The 22,439-nt window shown below is 51.4% G+C and overlaps 2 protein-coding genes and 1 long non-coding RNA gene across 17 annotated transcripts in view, besides 4 other annotated features; 2 read left to right on the forward strand and 1 right to left on the reverse strand.

Moving 5' to 3' along the window:
* Positions 1-22,439, forward strand: part of THTPA (thiamine triphosphatase) — a 48,512-nt gene that overhangs the window by 14,927 nt on the left and 11,146 nt on the right. The window lies entirely within an intron of this gene.
* Positions 1-22,439, reverse strand: part of ZFHX2 (zinc finger homeobox 2) — a 35,096-nt gene that overhangs the window by 5,830 nt on the left and 6,827 nt on the right. For 3 of the 14 annotated variants that reach the window (XM_047431818.1, XM_047431821.1, XM_017021716.3), the window contains exons 2-8: positions 6,599-8,688; positions 5,881-6,398; positions 4,795-5,035; positions 3,434-3,508; positions 3,012-3,082; positions 918-1,118; positions 161-287 (exon numbers count right to left, since the gene is read on the reverse strand). In XM_047431818.1, the coding sequence (XP_047287774.1) occupies positions 161-287; positions 918-1,118; positions 3,012-3,082; positions 3,434-3,508; positions 4,795-5,035; positions 5,881-6,398; positions 6,599-8,639 (3,274 nt within the window). In that variant the 5' untranslated portion in view covers positions 8,640-8,688. Of the gene's footprint in view, positions 1-160; positions 288-917; positions 1,119-1,942; positions 2,029-2,578; positions 2,979-3,011; positions 3,368-3,433; positions 3,509-4,197; positions 4,295-4,794; positions 5,036-5,880; positions 6,399-6,598; positions 8,689-20,452; positions 21,758-22,439 lie in introns of those variants that run through there. The other 11 variants (XM_011537245.4, NM_033400.3, XM_047431824.1 and 8 more) reach the window with 10 other exon arrangements.
* Positions 3,328-5,686, forward strand: LOC124903289 (uncharacterized). The gene is made up of 2 exons (XR_007064079.1): positions 3,328-3,398; positions 3,760-5,686. It is a non-coding gene; the product is annotated as an uncharacterized LOC124903289 (long non-coding RNA).
* Positions 5,597-6,097: an enhancer, noted in NCBI's record as "H3K4me1 hESC enhancer chr14:24001492-24001992 (GRCh37/hg19 assembly coordinates)". NCBI's record gives its function as "activates a minimal SCP1, AML or CMV promoter by ChIP-STARR-seq in primed H9 embryonic stem cells {active_cell/tissue: H9 hESC(primed)}" and the evidence as "EXISTENCE:reporter gene assay evidence [ECO:0000049][PMID:30033119]".
* Positions 10,730-11,609: an enhancer, noted in NCBI's record as "OCT4-NANOG-H3K27ac-H3K4me1 hESC enhancer chr14:24006625-24007504 (GRCh37/hg19 assembly coordinates)". NCBI's record gives its function as "activates a minimal SCP1, AML or CMV promoter by ChIP-STARR-seq in primed H9 embryonic stem cells {active_cell/tissue: H9 hESC(primed)}" and the evidence as "EXISTENCE:reporter gene assay evidence [ECO:0000049][PMID:30033119]".
* Positions 18,627-19,251: an enhancer, noted in NCBI's record as "H3K27ac-H3K4me1 hESC enhancer chr14:24014522-24015146 (GRCh37/hg19 assembly coordinates)". NCBI's record gives its function as "activates a minimal SCP1, AML or CMV promoter by ChIP-STARR-seq in naive H9 embryonic stem cells {active_cell/tissue: H9 hESC(naive)}" and the evidence as "EXISTENCE:reporter gene assay evidence [ECO:0000049][PMID:30033119]".
* Positions 21,124-21,747: an enhancer, noted in NCBI's record as "H3K27ac-H3K4me1 hESC enhancer chr14:24017019-24017642 (GRCh37/hg19 assembly coordinates)". NCBI's record gives its function as "activates a minimal SCP1, AML or CMV promoter by ChIP-STARR-seq in primed H9 embryonic stem cells {active_cell/tissue: H9 hESC(primed)}" and the evidence as "EXISTENCE:reporter gene assay evidence [ECO:0000049][PMID:30033119]".

Here is a 22,439-nt window from a genome sequence, read left to right on the forward strand (position 1 = left end):
AGAGAGAAGAAAGTACAATGAGGAGGGAACTTCGTTTAAGCCAGACCCCACCCACTCAATACCAAGGCAGTTGACCTTGGCCTCAGTCATCTTCAGACCTTGTTGGCCCATGGAGTCCCCTTTCCTGGTACCTTGGGAGGTTTGCTGTTCCATTCCTTACCTGCTGCCTGGTCTCTGCTCGGTGTAGGCTCTGGCCCATGAGTGGGGGGTTCTTGGCCATTGTCCAGAGGGCTTAATGTGGGTGCAGACAGCACTTTGGTTGTAAATGTCATTTCTACAGTTGTAGCCTGCAATGAGAAAAAGCCTAGTGGCTTCACCACCACCCCCCACTGCCCCTATGCCACTCCTGACCCATCTGCCCTACACCTGTACTTGTGCCGAGATCCCTTGCCACAGATCCAGCCTCCTGTCTGAACAAACCTCCCACCTAATTGCTGCTTTTGCTACAGATGAGAGAGCCTGGGCTGCTACCTCTCCTATCTGGCTTCCTCTTTCCCCAAACCAGAAGTCATCATTCTTTGAGGCTACCTGGTCTGGCAGGCTGGTACCTGCTGTTCAACAACTCTTCTCAGGACTTAGTGGAGGTGAAACAGAAGCCTCTGCCTCATCTCTTAAGTAGAGGCAGCTAGACAAGCTCAGTTCTGAGTCTCCCTCTCTAAAATCCAACTTCAAATCCATGAAATGCTGCTTTTGTTGCCAACACATGCACTTGCCTGAATACTCCTGCCTCTTCCTCCCCTCCTGGATGGCCCTAACAAGGCCTTGTCGGACCGTCCTCACCCAGCCAACACACGCACTTGCCTGAATGCCCCCTGCCCCCAACACATGCACCTGCCTGAATACCCCTGCCTCTTCCTCCCCTCCTGCACAGCCCTAATAAGGTCTTGTTGTACCGTCCTCACCCAGCCTGTACTCACTACAAGCAGCAGCTTCTCAACGCACTCGGGCACCACGTTGTGAAGGTGGCTAAGGTGGAAGTGCAGGGCAGGCCGGCCCACCAGCTGTTCCTGGCACAGTGGGCATCTGTACTTGGGCTGCACTGCATGCTGGGAGAGTGTATGAGCCCTCACCTGGCTGGACTCTGGGCTCAGGAAGCTGCAGTATGGACAGCAGTATACCTGGAGGGAACATATGGGCAGTGGACGAAGTGTCAGGGAAGGATGGGACCCACCATCACATAGTCCTTTGGATGCAGCACTGGCCCGCCCCCACTCCTTTTTTTTTTTTTTTTTTTTTTTTAGATGGAGTCTGGCTCTGTCACCCAGGCCGGAGTGCAGTGACGTGATCTCGGCTCACTGCAACCTCCGCCTTCCAGGTTCAAGCAATTCTCCTGCCCTCAGCCTCCCAAGCAGCTGGGATTACAGGCGTGTGCAACCACGCCCAGCTAATTTTTGTATTTTTTAGTGGAGACAGGGTTTTGCCACATTGGCCAGGTTGGTCTTGAACTCCTGATGCCAGGTGATCTACTCATCTTGGCTTCCCAAAGTGCTGGGATTACAGGCGTGAGCCACCACGCTTGGCCTCTCACTCCTAATTGAAGAGGAACTAGCCAGATAGGAAGGCATTATAGCAGACCCAGCCTCCAGCCACAGTCCTGAGAGCTGGCTCCTCCCCACTTTCCCTTGGATTGGGACAAAGGCCTAGCTTAGGCCGCTACCTTGCACTCCTTCTTTGTCTGGCCCTCTTCCACCATCCTGGCCTCTCTGCCTTTTCTTGGTGTGTCTTTCCCAGTCTTTGCTGCCTGCCTCAACTCTCCAGCTAACAGATGGCTCTGTACCTACTGCCCCCACCTTGGATTTAGTTTTCTTCTCTTACCTATCCTATCCTGTCGTGTCTTCTCTGTGAAATGGTTCCATTTCCTCTGGGCATTTTCTGGACCCAGAGGCTCCCTTGTCCCTGCCCACTCTGCCTCTGTGAACCATCACCTGGAAAGGGGCCCTACCTGTCTGCTCAGAAGCCAGCTCATCCTCCCTCAGGCTCAGCAGCTCCCACCTTATTTTCCATCTTTCTTTTTCCTTCTTCTTTTTCCTAATGTGAATAAACACCACAGCTCCCCCAGTGGCCCAGGAAAATTCTGGCCCAGCCCTCTCAGCACATTCTCAGCCACACTTCCAGAGGGGTGAGGCTGCCAGAGGCCCCACCATCACCTGACTGCCAGACCTACCCAGCCTGCATCCAGGCTGGCACCAGTGGCACAGGCCTGTGTGTCAGGGAGGGGATGACTGTAAAGGAAGGGGATCCAGATGCTCATCTTAACGCACCTAGCCCCTGGAGCAGACATCTGGAAGAGGTCTGTTGGCGGGAGCAGGAGTTAGGAAGAAAAGATGCTGAGGACATAAGGCATTACTTCAGCTTGCAGTAATGCAGTAACACTGCGTATTGCAATAACAATAAATGTTACATATTGTAGTCCAGTTTGGAGAGCTGTGAGGCACAGGATGGCATCTCAAACCAGAGGCTGGGAATCCCCTCAGAACACAGAGCTGCCATTCCTGGGTGCTGCCTAGGTCTGAGTCCTGGGGATTTAGAGATTTGTGGCACATGCTGTCAGTGTGAATCATTTGGTTGGTGCCCCTACCCTTAGTAAGAGGATGCCAGGACAGTTCCATCCAGGCTCAGGGCGTTTTGTAGGGTAGGAACACCGGTGTCTTGTCTTTCTGCTCCTAACTAAGGGATAAAGAGCTGGGCAGTAGCTGGTTGTTTGCTTTTGCCTTTCTCCTCCCCTCCTTCCAGCATGTACCCCCACTCTTTCCTACTCTCAGCACAATTCCTTTATTCATCTTTCCCTCAAGTTCCTGCTGTCTCCCTCCTATCATCTCCCTCTGTGCTTGACCCTGCTGGGCCAGCTCTGCCCCCGAAAGTGCTGAACATGTGGAACTGGATCTGGGTGGAATTTCTTAACTGTGCTATTCTGAGTGAAATAAGTCAAAGCATGACAAAATTACGTCTGCCTTTAGAATATGAGCAGATCTCAGTAAAGCCAGGCCCCCACTTCAGCTCTTCCCAGTTACCCCAATTCTGACCGTGGTCTGGTTGGCACTGTCTCTGGAAGGGCCAGTCTTGTTTTCTGTCTCTTCTGAAGCTGAGGATGAAAGAAGAGGAGATTAAGGAACCCTGACAGCCCTCAAGATGATTTGTAGCAGAGAGCTTCCAGGGTAGGGAGTTGGGCACTAGAGAAAGGGCAGGAAACTCAGTAGATAGGTGAGGCTTGGCAAGGGCTGACTCCGGGTCAGTAGGATGGTCAGGTCTGAGTTCTCAAAGAGGGCGGAAGTGCCTAGCCTCTCGTGGCTCAGCCTCCCTTCCCCCTGATGAGCCCTTTCTTTAATCAGTTTTGCTCCTTGAGCACAGACATTGCTGGGCTCCTGGATTACTGCAAGGTCCCGTGAGCGTCTCAGAAGGTAGGAGGACTGGGGGGAAGGGAGGGAAAACTCACCCAATTGTTCTGTCTTGTTCTGGGCATCTTTCTCAGGGGTGGGTGGCTCAGCTAAGGGGGTGACAGGAGCCTTCCCTGTGTAGGATGGGGGGAGAGTCAGCTTAAAGAGGTGTGGCATCAGGGAAGGGAGGACATAGGACAGAGGAAGCAGGACAAGCAGCCAGTCAATGAAGGAGAAAATGGATGGCTCAATCAGCAGGTAGGAGAGTATGAAAAGCCAACAAAAAGAAACACCCACACAGAAGATAGAGGGAAAATTACAGTATTAGAACTGGTAGGGCCTAAGAGATCATTTTATTAAGAGTCCAGTTCCTGTCCTTTTATAGAAGTCCAGCAGTAGACAGCAGAAACAAGACCAAACTCAGCTCCCTGTCTTAAATGACCCAGGAAATGGGAAGCCCCAGAGAAATGTAGTAGGAGGGGCACTGAAGAAGGAAGCCTTGGCTGAATGGAAGCAGCTGCTGCAGTGAGCAGGAAGTGGCAGGTCTAGCTGGAAGAGGAGATTACCGCTCAAGTAAGAATTGACAGATGTGTAGGAATTTATTTTCGGTGGCAGCCTAATTAAAGTGTTAAAGTTCCTTAACTCCATTCAGCCCTGCGCCAGGATCGTTAGCTATTGATCTGGGCCCCTCCGGCACTTAACTCCAGCCAGCATATTGGCAATTCAATTAGCACCAGTCAATGCTGCGTGTTCCTGGCTCCTGCTGCCCATGCCCTCGCCCTTGCCCACCACTGGCTCTGCAAAGCCCGACGCCCATGCCCACCTCTGGCAGCCCCTTGCAGGCTCTTCTCCTGTACCCTCTGGATCAATGGTGCCTGGCTGGCTGTTCCCGGCCTCTGCTGGTACAACCTCAGCTGCCTAAGGGTGACTCTAAGCCCAGCCTTAGGGCTGAAGACCTCCTAGGAGACAGGAAGAGGCTGGGAAGCTTGTCAGGGGCCTCTTCCCATCCCTGCTGCCTTTGGATCATGCCCACAGCTCCTATCTCCTTCCAAGAAGCCCTGGCCCAGCACAAAACAGGTTCTCTCTCCTTCCTACCCAGCTCCAGCCTGCCACCCTCCAGCATTACCAGGACACTAGTCACTACTCAGAATCACTGGGTGGTTCCTCTTCACCCTCTTCCTGTTCTATGTCATCCACCCAGCAAAGCCCCTGCCCTTCTTTGCCCCTCCACTCAAGGTAGCCTCCACAGTGCCTGACACGCTCATTCTGTCTTATCCCTTCGCAGCTTCTTCCCATTTAGTATAGGTGGCCTACAGGCCCTCTTCGCCTTCCTTGTATCTCTAACTCCGCAGCCCCCCTGCTCCCCACATCCTGCTGCCCTCCCTGCCCAGCTCTTATTCTCCAGTCCCTTCTTCCTCACCGGGAGTCCGGAGCTGCCCGTGGCTGAAGCTCAGGATGCTCTGAAGAGCTGCGAGTCCTTCCTCAGTGGTTGGGCCATTCTGTAGCAGCTGCAGACGCCTCTGGGCCTGGGCATCGCGGTGGGCAGGTGTGCGCAGGTGTTGCAGCACAGCCAAGCGGGAGGGTGTCTCCCACGCACACAACAGGCAGTGGTATAGCCCCAGCTCTGCCCCTGCCTCCGCTCCCTCCATGTCCAGCAGAAACTAGAACCATGGGAAGAGGCTGGCTCAGGCCCAGAAGGGACATGCCAGACCTCAGGGGACTTTTTTTTTTTTTCTAGAGAGAGTCTTGCCCTGTTGCCCAGGCTGGAGTGCAGTGGCATGATCTCTACTCACTGAAGCCTCTACCTCCTGGGTTCAGTGATTCTCATGCCTCAGCCTCCCGAGTAGCTGGGATTACAGGCATGCGCACCACACCTGGCTAATTTTTGTATTTTTAGTACAGATGGGGTTTCACCATGTTGGCCAGGCTGGTCTCGAACTCCTGACTTCAAGTGATCCTCCCGCCTCGGCCTCCCAAAGTGCCGGGACTACAGGCGTGAGCCACCGCACCTAGCCTCAGGGGACTTCTTTGCCTTCCCTAAGGGAGACTGACTAGCAGCAGCCCCCTCCCCACCCCTCGCTTCCTGCTCCTGAAACCCCCCCTTTCCCTCCTATGGCCACCTAAGTATTATTGCTTGCTCTCCCCAACCCTTTCTCTTTCTCCTACCACTCCTGGACTCCCTCCCAGCATGCAAATGGAGTCTGGTTCCATCCTCTTGAACCTCTGGTGACATGACAAACTGAGCTGATACCACCCCTCCCTCCAGGGCCAAACACCAGAAGAGCTGAATAAAGTCTGTTTCACTTGTCAGAGTTTACTATCCTTTGGTCTCTTTCTCCATGTCTGTCACTTTGTTACCCTGGTACATATGTCATTACCTGGTGCATACTTTCCTTTTTCTCCATTTGTCACCCAGGGTTTTCCTATCACTTTCTTATTCTGCATCTCCTCCCTCTGTCCCCATTCCCTTCTCCTCTTCCGATGGCCCTTCCTGACCCAGCCTCACCTTATAGATTTGGCTGTTTTCTTCGTGGGCTGCACCCCTGGCATGCAGCTGCATCTTCTCCTTGCTGTTGGACTCAAAGTCACAGATGTTGCAGCGCAGGTGTAGTGGGGAGACAGACCCATAAGGAGCCCCATCTCCCAGGGATGCTGGGGAAGGGGTGCCCATGGCTCCACCCCCCTCCCGCAGGTGGGCTGCCAGCTGGTACTTCTGAGCATGTTTGTCAGTCTTGAGGTGGAGTTGGAAGTTGGCCTTGAGCTGGGTGCCATAGCAGCAAAGCTTGCAGCGGTGGGTGTCACCAGCCACCTCCTTCCATTCAGCTTCCGGGAGGCTCCGGCCTATGCTGCAGTGGTAGAGCAGCAGCTCCAGGCTGTCTGTGCTGAAGGCCTGGCACACTAGGCAGCGGAACACCTTCAGGGACAGGCTGTCGTCTGGGGGTGGTGAGGTGGGCAGGCTGTCAGATGAGGAACCCAGGAGCTGACTTGGAGGCAGGTGGGCATCAGGGGATAGGCTTCCAGGGGCTAGAGGACAGAGACAGATTAGTGGCCCAAGAAAGAAATGGGGCACGGTTGGTTCTCTATGTGGGGAGGTGGGTTAATGAGTAGGATAGTGCTCAGAGGGACTTATGGTTACCTAAGTGGGGAGTTGGTCCTTGGGAGAAAGCACGGAATAGAGTTTGGCCCTGGGGAGGAGAGAAGAGGGAAGAAGCACAGAAGCTTACCGGATGTGGGGAACTTGCGGGCAGGTGCTCCTACGTGGTGGAAACCATTGAGAAGTAGCTGGGCTTCCAGGGGCTTGTCTGGCCTCAGCCCCGGGCCAGCCAAGGGAGTCTGAGGCTGCCCTAGGGCCTGGGGCCCAAAGTACTGGAAGAGTTCAGGGGGGCTAGTGGGGGTAGCCCCTGGTGGGGGAGGAGGGCCTGGCCCCATCAATCCAGGTGGCAGGCCCAGCGGCAGCCCCTGGTGCAGCATTAGGACATTCTGCATGTGCTTCTCAGAGGTCATATGGATGCGCAGGTTACGGGAGATGTTTGTCTCGTAGCTGCACACCTTGCACTGCCAGGATGATTTGGTCTTAGGCTCTTTGTCTCCCGCGGAGGGTGGGAGTGATGCCTCTGGTGGACTTCCCTGCCCACCAGGGCCCGCCTGGAAGCCCTGTAGGTTGGCCAGGTGCTTGTCAGACTGCATATGGATGCTGAGGTTGCCTTTGGTGGTTGTAGAGTAGTTGCAGACGTCACAGCGGTAGGGTTTGTAGCCACAGTTGTAGCTCTCTCCACGAGCAAGGCGGGGGTGGGCGCCCCCAGCACTGCAGTAGCTGCAGTGACTGTTGCTCTCAGGGTGCTTCTCTCGCATGTGCACATCCAGGGTCTGCTGGTACTTGTAGTGCCAGTTGCACTTGGGACACTTGAGTGTCTTGCAGGAGTTGCGTGAGTGGAGCAGGGACATGTGGCTGGACAGGCTGAGGCCCTGGAAGGCTGCAGGGGCTGGGGTGTAGTCATCAGCTAGGCGATAGGGCTGGGGTGGGTCACTGGGGTCTTCGGGGGAGCCCACTGGGGCAGGGAGAGTGCCCCCCTCCTTGGAGGTGGGTGAGCTTTGGTTGAGTGGGGGGCAGAGCCCTCCATCCTCTTCTTGCCCCTCAGGGAACCAATCTGGCCCTGCCTCGCCTGCTGCTACTGGCGATTCTTTGGCTTGGGTTGGGCTGGGGTCCCAGGTGGCTGTGGGTGGAGAGGGTGGGCTGAGGGCCATAACTTCTTCATCCAGGAGGATAAGGGCCTGGACTTCTGCCTCAGGGGGGCCATCCTCTGTCTGGGCCACATTCGCCTCCATGTTCACTGTGCTGCTGTTGTCAAGGGGTATGTCAGAAGAGGGGCGAGCAGGGAGTTTTGGCTCCAGAAAGCTTATGAGGGCCTTGCAGCCTTCATCTCCCTCCTGGAGTACAGCTGGGCTACCTGACAGGCCCTGATATTGGGCAGGGGTTAGCTTCACCCCATGAGACTGTGTGTGATCCATAAAGGCCTGGGGCTTGCTGAAACCCAGGCGGCACAGAAGGCAGAGCCAGAAGACCGCCACGTGGTTGCCCCCGCTGTTCCCCATGGGGCCATCTTTGGGATCTCCGGGTGGATTTGGAGCCAGCTGGTAGCTCCAGAAAGCTCCATGCCTTTCCTCACAGGCAGCCGGAGATGGTGCTGAGGTATCATGGGACAGAATTTGGTCAGAAGAGCTAAAGCCTTGGATTGGGTCAAAGCCATGTTGGATGTGAAGGGCAGTGAGGTGTGAGGGGGGTGGGTAGGCAAGGAAGGGCAGACTGGGCTCTTCCTTGATGCCCGCCTCACCCCAGGGGAAGCCCTTTGGTAACAGGAGTTCACTGCCACCTGGCAGGGACAGCTTGGCCACTAGGTAGGCCTCACCTCCAGCTGTGAAGAATAAGTGGTTGCTTAGGTCCATGGGAGGGAGCCCTTCTTCTTCCTCCTCCTGCTCCTTGTCCTTTTCCACCCCTGGGTCATTTGGTGGGAAGTGACCACAGTCAGGCCCTTCCTGGGGCTCCCCAATCTCCTTTGGTGGGACGAGGCCACAGCCCGACTCCAGGAGCTGTCCCCCTGGCTCTGAGGACCTCATGTTCTCAGAGGTGGAGGAGGCAGCAGGGGGATCTTTGGTGACAGGATCAGAGGGGGTGCTGGAGGAGAAGGTGTCCGAAGGCAGGGACGGGGCATTGTGCCCAGGGGAGGGGGTGGTACCAGTGGTAGAGGCTGAGTTAAGGGTGGCCATGGTAGACGGAGGAGTGCTGGGGGCTCATGTCAGCGTGACAGCCAGTACCCTGTAGGGAGACAAGGAGAGAGCAGTGCTGTGAGGCTGCAGGGACCCCAGCTGGGCAGCTGGATCTCTGGATACTCCTGCCCCATCCTCTTCCCTGAACACCAGACTCAGACACCACTTTGCTAACCTGAAATTTCACTTAGTGTCTAACATGCTTCAAAACTTAATATGTCCAACATCAGAACTCTTCATTTTATTTATTTTATTTTATTTTATTAATTAATTAATTTTTTTTTGAGATGGAGTTTTGCTCTTGTTGCCCAGGATGGAGTGCAATGGCGTGATCTCGGCTCACCGCAACCTCCACCTCCTGGGTTCAAGTGATTCTCCTGCCTCAGCCTCCTGAGTAGCTGGGATTACAGGCTTGTGCCACCACACCTGACTAATTTTGTATTTTTAGTAGAGACGGGGTTTCTCCGTGTTGGTCAGGCTGGTCTCTAACTCCCGACCTCAAGTGATCCGCCCACCTCGGCCTCCCAAAGTGCTAGGATTATAGGCGTGAGCCACCGCGCCCAGCCTAGAACTCTTTATTTGTCCCCTGAACCTGCTCCTCCCCATCTTTCCTATCTCCAAAGTTGGTACCAACATTTATCCAGTGGCTTAGACTAAAAACCCAAAGTTTTATCTTGCCCTCACCTACTGGACATATCCACTTCAACAGCAACTTCTAAAACATGTCAATCCCTCCATTTATCTCCTTCACTAACACCATCCTGGGGCCCGCTGAAATCCGGGCAGCACAGAAGGCAGGCCATTATCATCTCTTTCCTGGACTAACACAACAGATGCCACACTGGCCTCCCACTTCCACTACTGCCCGCTACAGTGTATTTTCTCTCCATCCAGCAGCCAGAATGGGGGCTTTAGTTTTTGCTCTATCTTTAGCACAGAAAACAATGCCTGCCACAGTCAGTGTCTTTTGAATGGCAGAATTCTAGGAAAGACCCTCAGATTTTCCATACCCTGACGAGGTAAATTCCCTAAGTCTTGCCAGAGATAGGGCATAATTGATTTCCCCTGGCATGCAGGCACCATGCTTCTCTCCAATGCCTTCCAGATCCATCTCTGGTCACAGCATGTGGAACAGATGGGAGCTTCTCTGGTCAGTTGAAAGATAACAGCTAGTCGGTTGCCTCCTCTTCCTCCCAAAAGAGGTAACAAATAATAAGTAATAGTAATAATATTACTAATAGTTATGTAGGTACATATACCATGGTCCTGGCACTATGTTAAATGCTTTATGTTAATCATCTCATTTAATCTCACAGCAACCTTATTTTATGGATGGGGCATCCAAGAAACAGAGATGTTAAGTGAGCTACTGAGGGTCACACAGCTCCAAGATAGTGAAACTAGAAATGGACTGATGAGGCACTGAGTAAACCCCAAAGTTGTGGTCTAGACTCCTCCACCCAGCTAGACTGTCCCTTGGACACAATACAGGTAAAATGAGACTCCAAAGGACTAGAAATGAGGATTCCAGTCTGGGCACGGTGGCTCACATCTGTAATCCCAGCACTTTGGGAGGCCGAGGCAGGCAGATCACCTGAGGTCAGGAGTTTGAGACTAGCCTGGCCAACATGGTGAAACCCTGTCTCTACTAAAAATACAAAGAAATTAGTTGGGCGTGGTGGTGCATGCCTGTAATCCCAGCTACTCAGGAGGCTGAGGCAGGAGAACAGCTTGAAACTGGGAGGCAGAGCTTGCAGTGAGCCGGGACTGCACCATCGGGACTGCACCATCGTACTTCAGCCTGGGCAACAAGAATGAAACTCCGTCTCACCAAAAAAACAGAAAGAAAGAAATGAGGATTCCTGGGCTGCCTCCAGCTGACAGAAGCGCCAAGGCTCCCATCCTTTTTTTTTTTTCTAAATCAGGAACCTCCCCCTCAAACTCACCAATTCCCATGCCTCTCCATCCTATACTTCCCCCAAGGTCCCAGTTGGCCCATCTACGTCCTCTCTAGCTCTCGTATTAGCAGATCTCTAGTGATTAAACTGGTAGTGCTTCAGGCCAGAGTGCTTCGTGTAAGGGGCGAGGGGCGTGGCCTCTCTTTTCCTGGGCTACCTCTAACCCTCACCTTCAGACTTTTTTATTTGGAATGGGTCCTCAGTCTGGCCCCACCCAACCTGAAGGCCCCATTGTAGCTTCCCTCCTCCTGGGGTTCTAGCCAGGCATGAAGTCAGAGCCATTAAGGAATGCTGAGTGGAGTGGGATTAGCATGGTAATGAAAATGCAAATCAGCACCTGGGAAAGGGGTGGAAGGGATGGGGAGGTCGGGGGAGTTGGAGAACCAAAAGGGAAGTGAAGGAACTGGACTGAGGGGAGCCGATTTCTCGATAACCAGAAAGCAGAAGCCCTCAAGTTGAGGGAGAAAGGTATTCCTCCTACAGAATCCATGGTGGGGGAGAGGGGTAAGGGTGCTGGTTTGTGAGGGTCTGTTATTCCATCGTCACCCACAGGGTGGGCCACACCGCCCTTCCACTACCCCACCTGGTGGGAATAACTGACTGGGCAAGAGGCCCTGTCCTGGGCCCTGCCGCCAAGGGCTGTACACAGGTGCGTGCTCTCTCCCAGCCGGCCCAAGTGCTACAGCTCACCCTCCCTAAGCCTACCAGCTGCTTCCTGGCTCCTGACTCACCACGCTCGATCACAGCTCAGAGTAGGGCTAGGCAGACCTAAGCCCCAAATCCTACAGTAACTCCCAGATCCTCTCTCAAAAACATCTATTTCCTAGAACTGGAAAAAGACATAGCTGATTCCTAGCTAGAAACCAAAGGAGCTTAGCTTTCGGCTAGCTTGTAGGTGAGACTCTGATCGGCCGAGGGTAGGTTGGCAGCTATTTAAAATTGCAAATCTCTTCCCCACCTCCCAACCTAACCCTCCTCCTCTTTAGGAAAGAATTTCAATTGCAAATATATCTCTGCCTCAGTACATCCTCCCCCAACCCCAACTCCCCATCCCCCTTTCTTCTCGGAGCTTCTCCCATCACCCACTATTTATTACAAACCTTTAGCTGCAGCGATTATTTTTTTGCTTTTTTTCCCCTCATTGCATTTTCACTCCTCCATCTTTCCTTCCTTCCCTCTCAGAATCGCTAGGTCCCTTTCTTTGCCCTTCCTACCTTGAACTGGAGACAGTGCAGAAACGGACAGGCCTAAGAGTCATCCCCTCCTGCCACCCCCAAGACCAAGATTCTTGCTCATCCTCAGACCCATCGCCATTCTTCCCTTTAGTTCCTGGCTTTCCTTAAGGGCATCCCCTATCCCTGCGGACACATCTCAGATGTGGGTAAAGAGACAAGGCGACCCCTGAAAGGCCCTGACATTGCTTCCTCTGAAGGAGGCAAGAGGAGGAAGGAGGAAGAGGGTGGATCTGGTGTAGGGTGGAGGTTGGGGACGGTCAGGGAAGACCTGGGTAGAGGCAAGGGCTGGGGGCCTCTGTGAAGGAGAGGGGTTAGGGGAGACAGAGCAGGCAGTGGCGGTGCTGTGATTAGAGAGGAGATTGATGTGAAGGGGCGCCACAGACGGCAGAAAGAGTCAATAAAACGAGAGGATCACATTAGAGGCGACAGAGAGAGCTTTAAATTACAAGGCTGCTGCCACTGAGGGGGATGGGAGGAGGGAGGCCTGGAGCCAAGGGAGGGCGGAGAGTTCTGAGGGTGTAGTCATCCCCTGAGATGAATCTTGCAGCTCCAAAATGGCCCTTAGTCTCCAGAGTTCCCTGCTGCCCCTTCAGCCTATCCTCCTCCCCTAATGCACTGTTTCGTCACAAGGCTGAGGAGGGGAGGAAGATGAAGATGGAGAGAAAGGTGTGGAGAAATAGAAGACATTTTTTCCTTTTGGTATTGCCCTCTTCCTCTGTCCAGACCCAGGTCTCTGTTTACTTCTCAGGATGAGAAAGGAAGGATGGAAGTGCTACTTTCAAGGCTCAGCCAGGGAGTTAATGCCCTACAAACAAAAAAATATATACAGTCGTAATTACTGAGCTGCAAATGTTCTTCCATGGAGGTGGGAAGATACACATTAGGACCCAGAAAGCTGCCGAGAGAGAAATGTGATGAGACAGAGATAAGAGGCTCAGATGTAAAGTTGCAGAAACACAGGTGGAAAGCTGAAAAGCCAGGCCCTGACCGAGCAAGATGGGGGAAATAGTGAGACTTAAGGACCGGAGAATTACAAGAGACAAAGGGCATGGGCAAAGGAAGGACCAAAAAATTGAAGTCTGAGAAAGGAGAGAATCTGCCCCTCGCTGAAGAGGAGCCATGTCGTGGATTCAGGCTGGCCGGCAGAACTGGAGGCAAAGCTGACCAGGGGTGCTTCCTCCCATCCCCCAGCAAGACCAGGGCTCCCTTTGGTACAGCCCCCTCCCACCTCTGGCTGACCAAGAGAGGAAAGGAAACACTACTGCTCCCTAGTGGTTACAGAGGGAATATCACCAAGGAGTTGGCAGGGCTAATGGGACCTGACTGGCTTTTTCCTCCCTAACTCCCCTCCAAAAAACAAAACTCCTTTTTCTCCAAACCCAACTCCATGGCAAAGTCTTTCGAAGTGAAGTCTATCAGGGCACCATCAAGTTTGCATACAATGATTTTCACATCAGGGCCTTCCAAACAGTTGTTTTTCATTTTTTGAGACAGGGTCTCGCTCGGTCTCCCAGGCTGGAGTGCAGTGTCACCATCTTGTCTCACTGCAGACTCTGCCTCCTAGACTTAGGTGATCCTCCCATCTCAGCCTCCCTCCCAGTAGCTGGGACTACAGGCATGTGCCACCACGCCCAGCTAATTTTTGTATTTTTTGTGGAGACAAGGTTTCGCCATGTTGCCCAGGCTGGTCTCAGATTCCTGGGCTAAAGCAATCTGCCCGCTTTGGCCTCCCAAACTGCTGGGATTACAGGCATGAGCCACCAAGCCCAACCTTCCTAACAGTTTTGCCTTTCACTTTTCTAATTGTTTAATCTACCCACTTTCCCTTAGAGTCAATTTTAGGACCTTTTTTTAAAAATTCCTCTCTTAAATTGTTGCCTCAGGCATTGCACCCTTCCATACTCACTGTCCTCGCCTTCCTCCCCTTTTTGTCTCAACCTGTTGATTACAAGAGGAGGTGACCATGGAGAGAAGGGGAAGAGAAACAGGAAGGATGAGATGTGTGTACCCCTAGTATGGAGGATTGTTTGGTATAAACAGCAAATAAACTATAACTAGATGAGCTCTATTTTTTAGGGCAATGGAAGAACATGGGCTTTGGATCCACACACAGAGAGCCAGGTTCAATCCTTGCTCCATCACTCACTAGCTGTGCAACTCTGGGAAATTACGTATTGAGCCTTAGTCTCCTTATCTGGGAAAATGGGAATAATGATATTTTCCTTACTCAGTTGTGAAGACCAGATAGGTAACGTGTAAAGTGCATTTGCTGGGTGTTCAATGAGGGTAGTTCTTTTCCTTCTCTCTTTCCTGTCTCCCGTCACAGAGTGGAGCATGGTGTTTGCACAGAGGCTGACAGCTTTCCTTCTGTTCACCCCTTTTTCTTTTTTCTCTCTTTTTTTTTTGAGACAGAGTCTCGCTCTGTCACCCAGGGTGGAGTGCAATGGTGTGATCTCAGCTCACTGCAACCTCCACCTCCCAGGTTCAAGTGATTCTCCCTGCCATAGCCTCCCGAGTAGCTGGGATTACAGGTGCATGCCACCAGGCCTGGCTAATTTTTGTATTTCAGTAGAGACGGGGTTTCACCATGTTGGCCAGGCTGGTCTCGAACTCCTGACCTCAGGTGATCCACCTGCCTTGGCCTCCCCAAGTGCTGGGATTACAGGTGTGAGCCACTGCGCCCGGCCTCTGTTCACCCCTTTCTTGACCAAGACTCATCCTCTAATCTCTGCCCTTTTCAACTGAGGGCAGAATCTTAGATGGACAGGATTTTTTTTTTTTTTTTTTGAGACGGAGTTTCGCTCTTGTTGCCCAGGCTGGAGTACAATGGTGCGATCTTGGCTCACTGCAAACTCCACCCCTGGGTTCAAGCGATTCTCCTGCCTCAGCCTCCCAAGTAGCTGAGACTATAGGCAGGCTCCACCACGCCCAGCTAATTTTGTATTTTTAGTACAGACAGAGCTTCTCCATGTTGGTCAGGCTGGTCTCAAACTCCCAACCTCAGGTGATCTGCCCACCTCGCCCTCCCAAAGTGCTGGGATTACAGGCCTGAGCCACCACACCCGGCCAGGATTTAAATCTAGTCTACTCAGCCATAGAGTTCACTTCTTAGCCCTCTTGATTGCTGGGTCTAGAGAGACCCATTATTCCAGAGCAAAGAGTAGAAATTGTGCCCAGGCTCACATTTGGACAGAAGCAGCTAATAAGTGGATCAAAACTATTCTGGCCTTTCCCTGCATGTCTTCTTTTTTTCTTTTTTCCAAAGATCCTTTCCAAGTCATCCCTGCATTTAAAACTATCATTCTATCATCTCTAAATCTTACCTTCTATATTTAAAAAGAAAACAAACAGTACTTTGATTCTTCCCTTTTAATTCTACCTATCTCTTCTAGACCCTTCCCCTTTTATAAATATTTAAGGAGAGCTTACTTTGTGCAAATAAGTTTTGTCCAAAAGAGAGAGAAAGAACGAGTATGGCAGGGAATGAGACAAGCAGGAAAAGGAGTGTTGTAAAGGGCAAAGAAAGATCGCTAAGGCAGAGAAGAGGAGGGAGGAAGAAGGGAAGGAGAGAGGGAGAGGTAAGGAAGTGAAGAGGAAGATGAAGCTAGGTCTTGATTTGCATATATTGAATCTTTTCCAGGCCTCCCAGCTCTGGCACCAGATTGGGATGGTGGCCTGTCCCCAGTGAGAAGGAGGTGGCAAGGAGGCTGTCTCTTGCACTTTGCAAGATGCTTAAGGTGGGCATGAGTAGATTGGGTGAGGTGTGAGGAGAAAAGGGTAGGCTCAGGAAGAAGATGGGGGTGGTAGGGAGCAGACAGGAGGAGAAGGGAAGCGGTAGGCTGAAACCACACACGTTCACATTTGCATGGATTTGCTGAGGTGTGCTGCAGAGTGTCTGCTACTGATGGGGGTGGGTGTCCAGGAGAGGAGGCATCTCCCTTGATGACTTGGAAAGTGTTGGATGTGTTAGGACAGCAGTGTGGAGCTGCTCTGCTGCACAGATCTATGTGATTTTATAGTACACTGGAGAGACTCACATCCTGCTAGATGTGGTTCTCTCGTTCTACATACCACAGGCTTAGACAACCACGAACCAGCTCGGAACCCTTCTTCTGTATGAGCACTCAGGGAGTTGTCCCCTTAAATTCAGAATCAGGATCCTATCTGATCCTTGCATGGGGGACCGCTGAAGAATTTGGTCTCCCAGAACTTGGTAGGAAAACATTCTTTTTTTTTTTTGGAGATGGTGTCTCTGTTGCCAGGCTGAAGTGCAGTGGTGTGATCTCAGCTCACGGCAATCTCTGTCTCCTGGGTTCAAGCAATTCCCCTGCCTCAGCCTCCCGAGTAGCTGGGATTACAGGCGCGTACCACCACAAGCAGCTAATTTTTTGTATTTTAGTAGAGACAGGGTTTCACCATGTTGTCCAGGATGGTCTCTATCTCCTGACTACCTGACCCGCCCACCTTGGCCTGGGATTACAGGCGTGAGCCACTGCGCCCGGCTGGAAGGAAAACATTCTGAGTGACCGTGTATGTAAATAAGTCTTTCTGGTTATTTTATTCTGTGAACCTGTGTGATGTAATGACTGCATTTAAATAGTATTACAACAAAAACTAATTGTAATAATAGTAAATAGCTAACATCTTTAAATGTTTGCCATGGGCCAGGCACCGTGCTAGGCCCTCGGCAAGTATCACATCACCTAATCCTCCACTTCAATCTGATGCAATAGATGTAGCTATTCATTCCTATTTTACAAACATGGAGACTGATTTAGATGGGTTAAGTAATTTTTAAGATCTCCTGCTTAAAAAGAAGTAGAGTTGAGATTGGAACTCAGGTAGCCTGATGTCAGTACCTCTGCTCTTGGGTTAATTTGTAAGCTTCTGAACTCTGGCTGGTATGCATTTTGAATGAGGTCTTTTGAGTCTGATTGTATTACTCTGTGTGTCACCTTGAGCATATGTGCTATCATGTTCCGCCTGAAGGTGCTAGATGGCTGTCTTCCATTTGGTTTGTTTCTTAGTATAAGATGGACCAGAAGAGGAGCACTGCTTTGCGCAACTCCAGGGTGCGTCATTCACACTGCAGTCCATGCAGGGGCACTGGCCATGCCCTGTGTGAAGGAAGGGAAGGAGCGGGAGGGAGGGAGTGGGAACAGGAGGGAAGGGATAGATAATGGCGGGTAGTGTTCTTTGAATGATATGTGTACCCATTTGTGACAACATCTCTTAAAGTTGAAGGTCTACACATGTGTATCCATATTAGCATATGAACTTCATCAGACAAGCACTCTCCCTCCAACAGAGGGAGACCCTGTCTCAAAAAACAAAAAAAAATAGCCTTTAGAGTCAGACAGACCTGGAATCAAATTCTAGTTCTGTTTCTTAATATGTAAATGACCTCAGGTAAGTTGCGTAAAGTCTCAATTTAGTCTCTTCATATAGAGAATGGGGCAGGCCGGGCACGCGCCTATAATTCCAGCACTTTGGGAGGCCGAGGTGGGTGGATCATTGGAGGTCAGGAGCTTGAGACCAGCCTGGCCAACACGGTGAAACCCTGTCTCTACTAAAAATACAAAAAAAATGAGCCGGGCGTGGTGGCATGCACCTGTAATCCCAGCTACTCAGGAGGCTGAGGCAGAAGAATCGCTTGAACCCGGGAAGCAGAGGTTGTAGTGAGCCGAGATTGCACCACTGCACTCCAGCCTGGGTGACAGAGTGAGACCCTGTCTAAAAACAAACACATCAGAAACAGAAAACAGAAAAAAAAAAAAAAAAAGGGAATGGGGAACTCATGGAGTTGAGTCCATTGAGAGGATCATCATTGAGATTGGCACTTTGGGTGTATCAATAAATGGAAATGGAATAATTATTCATCCATATGCCTTATTTCCTGTGTTGGGGTATGTGTATGTTGTTTTTTGATTGTATGTGGGGCAGCTGGTAACCTGGCTGTAGCCCTGTCCCAGTACTTCTTTGGGGTTGGTGAAGGTGCTTGTTCTCCCTGGCTGGATTTTCCCAGGCCCTCCATGTACACGTGTGTGGGCCCTGTGCTTCCCTTTCAGTAGTAGGGTATCCTGTTCAGTGTGTTGCTGTGAGCCCGTATGTGGTTGGCCCGGCTGGCGCGGGCGTGTTTAGGGTGGTGGTAATTACTGGGATGGCCCAGCCCTAATGAGTGTGATCTCGTTACACTCTCGCTGCCTCTAATGGCGCTAACCTCATTTCACAGCCATTAGAGATGGAGATGAGGCCCCGCCCACTGGCCCTGCCAGCTGCAGCTTTTGCAGCCCTGGCCACGTTCTTTCCCTCCGGCTCGCCATTTCTCCATTCCACTTCTCCTTCTCCCACCTTTTTTTTCTGCTCCTCCTACCAGGTTTCCCTTTCCTGTCCCCCATTGTTCTTTTCCCTGGCCGTTTTTCTGCACCCCTCTCCTCTTTCATTCTCCTTTCATGTCTCCCTTCCCGCTTCTCTCTTCGATTCTGGGCTCCTCTTCTCTTCACTCATCACCCTCCCTTTTTTCTCCTCTAGTCAATTTGTCCTCCACATTGCCATTTCTCCATCCTCTTTTCCTTCCCTCTCCCCCGCCCTTCACGGCTCCAGTTCCTCCCCTCCCCCACATTGCCCTGTCTGGCCAAAGGACAAATCTCAAGGGGAAACCAGCAAAGACAAACAAGGAGCAGTGACTTCATTATCGTCGTTAATTTGCCACTTCAGTTCCTCCCATAAGGGTCAAAGCCAGCACTGCTTGAACTCAGGACTGACACGCAGGCCGAGACCATGGCCTGGCTTTTCAGCCCTACTTCTTACACAACCACTCGTCCGCCCTCCTCAGCTGTCTTCATTTCCCTGCGGAGGGGTCAGGCTTCCTGTTTGCTCTCCAATTTCTTAGTCCTCACAGCCTACTGCACTCCTTCCTTTCTCATTTAAATTGTGGCCATCTCTCTGTGCTCTCTCCCATCTCCAAGTCATGGGTTTTTCACCTTTGACTCCTATCTCTGTCATACTCTCTCCCAACTTCTCCCTGCCTAATCTTTCCAGAACCTCTTTCTCATCCTTCCCTGGCCTTCTCTCTAATTTCAAGTGCACTTCTTTCCCTAAAGCAGCAGGATTTATCTGTAGGTTTGTGGAAACCACATAGCCTGAAGAAGCTGGAGATGAGAAGAAAGGCATCTGTGGCCCAAGCAGACCACTGATACAGAACACAGAGATGGCTGGGGGGAAATGCAGACAACTGTGATGGAGGCAAGAGAAGCAGCAAAATCTAGACCCATGCCCATGGCCCAGGAATAAAGAAGACAGAGGCTTGAGATTAGGGAAAGAAAAGGGCATCACAAAACAAGGAATGAAAAATCTGAGGATGGAAATGGCGTTTACCCCATCAGGTCCTCGGGGAAACACAATCTAACACTCTTGGCCCACCCTCTGCCCTCCTTCACTGAGAAGCCAAATGACTGGTAATTGACTCTTGACCTCTAGCCCAAGCCCAGCCCCAAAGGGAGAGGTCCAGGGCAGTTAGCTATGACTGGAGGAGGCACTAGGGAAATGTGCATACATGAAGTTAAATTCCTGCCTACACCCATTCTGCCCCACTGACTTTGCACATCAACGTGCTCCACAGGACCAGACTCTCCATGCATAAACTGCTCTGCAGAGAGGTCTTGCACACCCTGGAACATTCATGTCTTTCTGATTGCACAGGCCCCTGTGCATGCGACATTCCAGTTGATGGTCCTGCTGGGAATTCCAAGGCCTGAACTTTAGCTTTGATGTAATCCTGTGTTCCTGCCAAATACAGAAAGAGGGCTCCTGTTCTCTCATTAGACTTTGGGGTAAAAAATGCTGAGGGGTGCTGAGCATCTCAGTAGAAATTAGAAAAATATATCTTCCTCCAGGTGTATGCAGCCCCCATGCCAGTGGTACAGCTTGGTGACAGGACTGTGGGTGGACCTCAGCCCTGTCACCCCTTAACAACTGCACATGAGGACCCTGGTCTCTGGACTAGTTCCTACATGAGGAAGCCACTGAGAGCCCATGGGATTACCCTACGGGGCTGGAAGTTACTTCTAAATCTTTCACCCCTGCCTTGCCAGCCTGGGGAGGAGGGATGGGCAGGCAGTTCCCTAGGACTTTCCCCAGAGAGGCAAGGGGCTCTGGGAAAGTGGGTGGTGGGCTGACCGAGCTTAGTGTGAGGAGCTCGAGAAGAAAGATGGAAAAATCAATGAAATGAGTTTCTAACGGTGAGGTAAAGGACCACTGTGTCGACAGCCTGTCGCTTGCTGCAAAATATGAGCTGCCCAACTCCGTGGCGGTGGCTGACAGTGCAACAGCCACCACTGTCCTTCCTTCAGGCCCCCCGCCCACCAGCCCCTTCTTTAGCTGCCCTGGCCTTGCTTATTATAGCCAGACTGTCCTCCAGCACTCCCAGCTCTCTCCCCTGTCTTCTTTTGTAGATTTCTCAACCCATTCAGGGGCTTTTTGGCCCTTCACCTCGTGATTCCTGATTGGGTGCATGTTTGTTTTCTATAGCTTCTGTGTATTTAGACCTCCTCTTTCTGCAGATTTTGCTCTGAGAGTTGTGGTGAGTTTTACATCTCTTGCCTCCCCCTCTTCTAGATACCTCTGGAGTCTTTCAACAATGGAGAGTCAGATGTCAAGGCCATCCCTCACAGGGTTCTTTACATCAAGATCTGGGCAGCAGTAACTTCTCCCTCCTTTGGCCTTTTGGCCCACATGGCCAATGCTGCCTTCGTTGTATTAATAATTACCTGGCTTGGGATAGGTGTTTAGAATGGGTCTGGTATTGATTTATGAACTCCTTATTTGCGGCCATTGTATATATACGGTTATGACCAATTCAATTGTAGTTTCATGATTGGGAATGGGGTGGGGATGCTACTTTTAATTCACATTTGCCAACTCTCTCTTTGGAAACAACTCTCAACCTTTTCTGGAAACCGCCTCCTTTCTCTTCCCTCCTCCACATCTTCCTCTTGGGCTCCTAGGGCTGTTCATTCATGTTTTCCTCCAATTATCACTACAAAGACTCTGCACATGAGCCCTGAGAGTTCCCCTGGCTGCCTCCAAGTGTGACCCTAACCCAGTCTCTCCTGTCTGCCTCAGATCTCACTGTCACTGGTTAACTACCCTCCAGCCATTCCCTCCGGTTTCTGATTTCCCAGTTTGCCCATTAATGTAGACTTAGGTGGGGGGAGTGGGTGAAAATTAGGTGGGCAACTCTTTCCCCCAGCCTCTCCCTACTAATTCAACGTTTGATCAGTAGATATTTATTAAGCCTTTTCTGTGTGACAGACACTGTGCTAGGTGCTGGAAAACAATTGGAAACTAGACAGATGTAGCCACTCCTCAGATGACCATGTGACTAACCCTGAGTCTCTCACCAGACAGCTAAGTCTCTCAGACTAGGGGACTCTGTCCCATTTCCCCCCTTTCTGTACAGCCAAATTCCACTGTGCCCTCTGGCATTTCACAACCCTTCCCTTTTCTCAATCCCTGAATGAGTTTACACTCACACAGCCCCGATCCCTTCCCTCTGCATTCTAGCTTTAGTCTCCATTCCTAAACCCAAAGCCATTACACTTTCAACAACTCTCCTCCCCACTCACAAAGCCCTTCTCCTTTCACATTCTGTAACTGCCATTTCTAGTCCTCCTCTTCCGTCTCTGCCTGCCTTTTGATCCAACCATCCTGACCTCAATGCCCTGTCTTAGGTTCCTTCCTCTTGCTACTGTCAGGCTCTAGCAAACCTCAGGTGCTCACAAACAGGAGTTATTTGTGACAACTGTTGTTCTGAGCTGGGAAGAGCTCCAGGGAGGCAAGGTCAAGCTACCAGAGTCAGAAATCCTACCAATTCGACCCAGGCCCTGGCCCGTAGGTGATACAGCACCCCGGCAAAGCAGCAAGTGATTCCTGTATGGGTCTCAAGGTAACACCAGCTGCCTCTGACATCATGGAGGGAGGAACCCTGTCAGGTTGCCAAGGCAATACCAGCAATTTATGACATCAGAGGCTTGAGGTCTTTGGTTCTCAGGGGCTGGGAAGATTCAAGTTCCTCTCAGCTGAAGTTTATGGGAATTCTACTTTTTCATCTCTTTGCTTGTGTTCTGGCTTGGGAATGAAATACAAAGGCCTTTCGTGGGGGTAGTGAGTGATTAGGCCAATGAAATGAATGCTCGTGAGGTTCTCTCTCTCTCTGTCTCTTCCCTGGATATTTCTGCTTTCTCTCCCTCTCTTGGGCATTTCTCTCTTCTGGGGCTTCGCCCAGTGGTATTCCTGCTATTTGTGCTATGCTTTTTTTCCAACCCCCCGGCGCCCCCGCAGTGCTCTCGCTCTCTTCGCATCAGTCACGCTGTGTCCTCCTCACACCAGAGGCATTTGTTTCCTTTGATACCTCATCCTCTCCTCTTTTCCTCCTACCAAGCTCTGTGCAGCTCTGATCTGCCTCAGCACTCCTTCGTTTGCCATCCATTTACCTTCTTTGTACCATACTCTCTTCCCATCTCATCTTGTTCAGCAATTCCTCCCTTCCCCCTCTTTACTACTGTATTAATTTCATAGTGCTTTTTCTGTTGACCTCCACTTTAGGA

Source organism: Homo sapiens, chromosome 14 (genome assembly GCF_000001405.40).
Source record: "Homo sapiens chromosome 14, GRCh38.p14 Primary Assembly".
Classification (NCBI taxonomy): domain Eukaryota; kingdom Metazoa; phylum Chordata; class Mammalia; order Primates; family Hominidae; genus Homo; species Homo sapiens.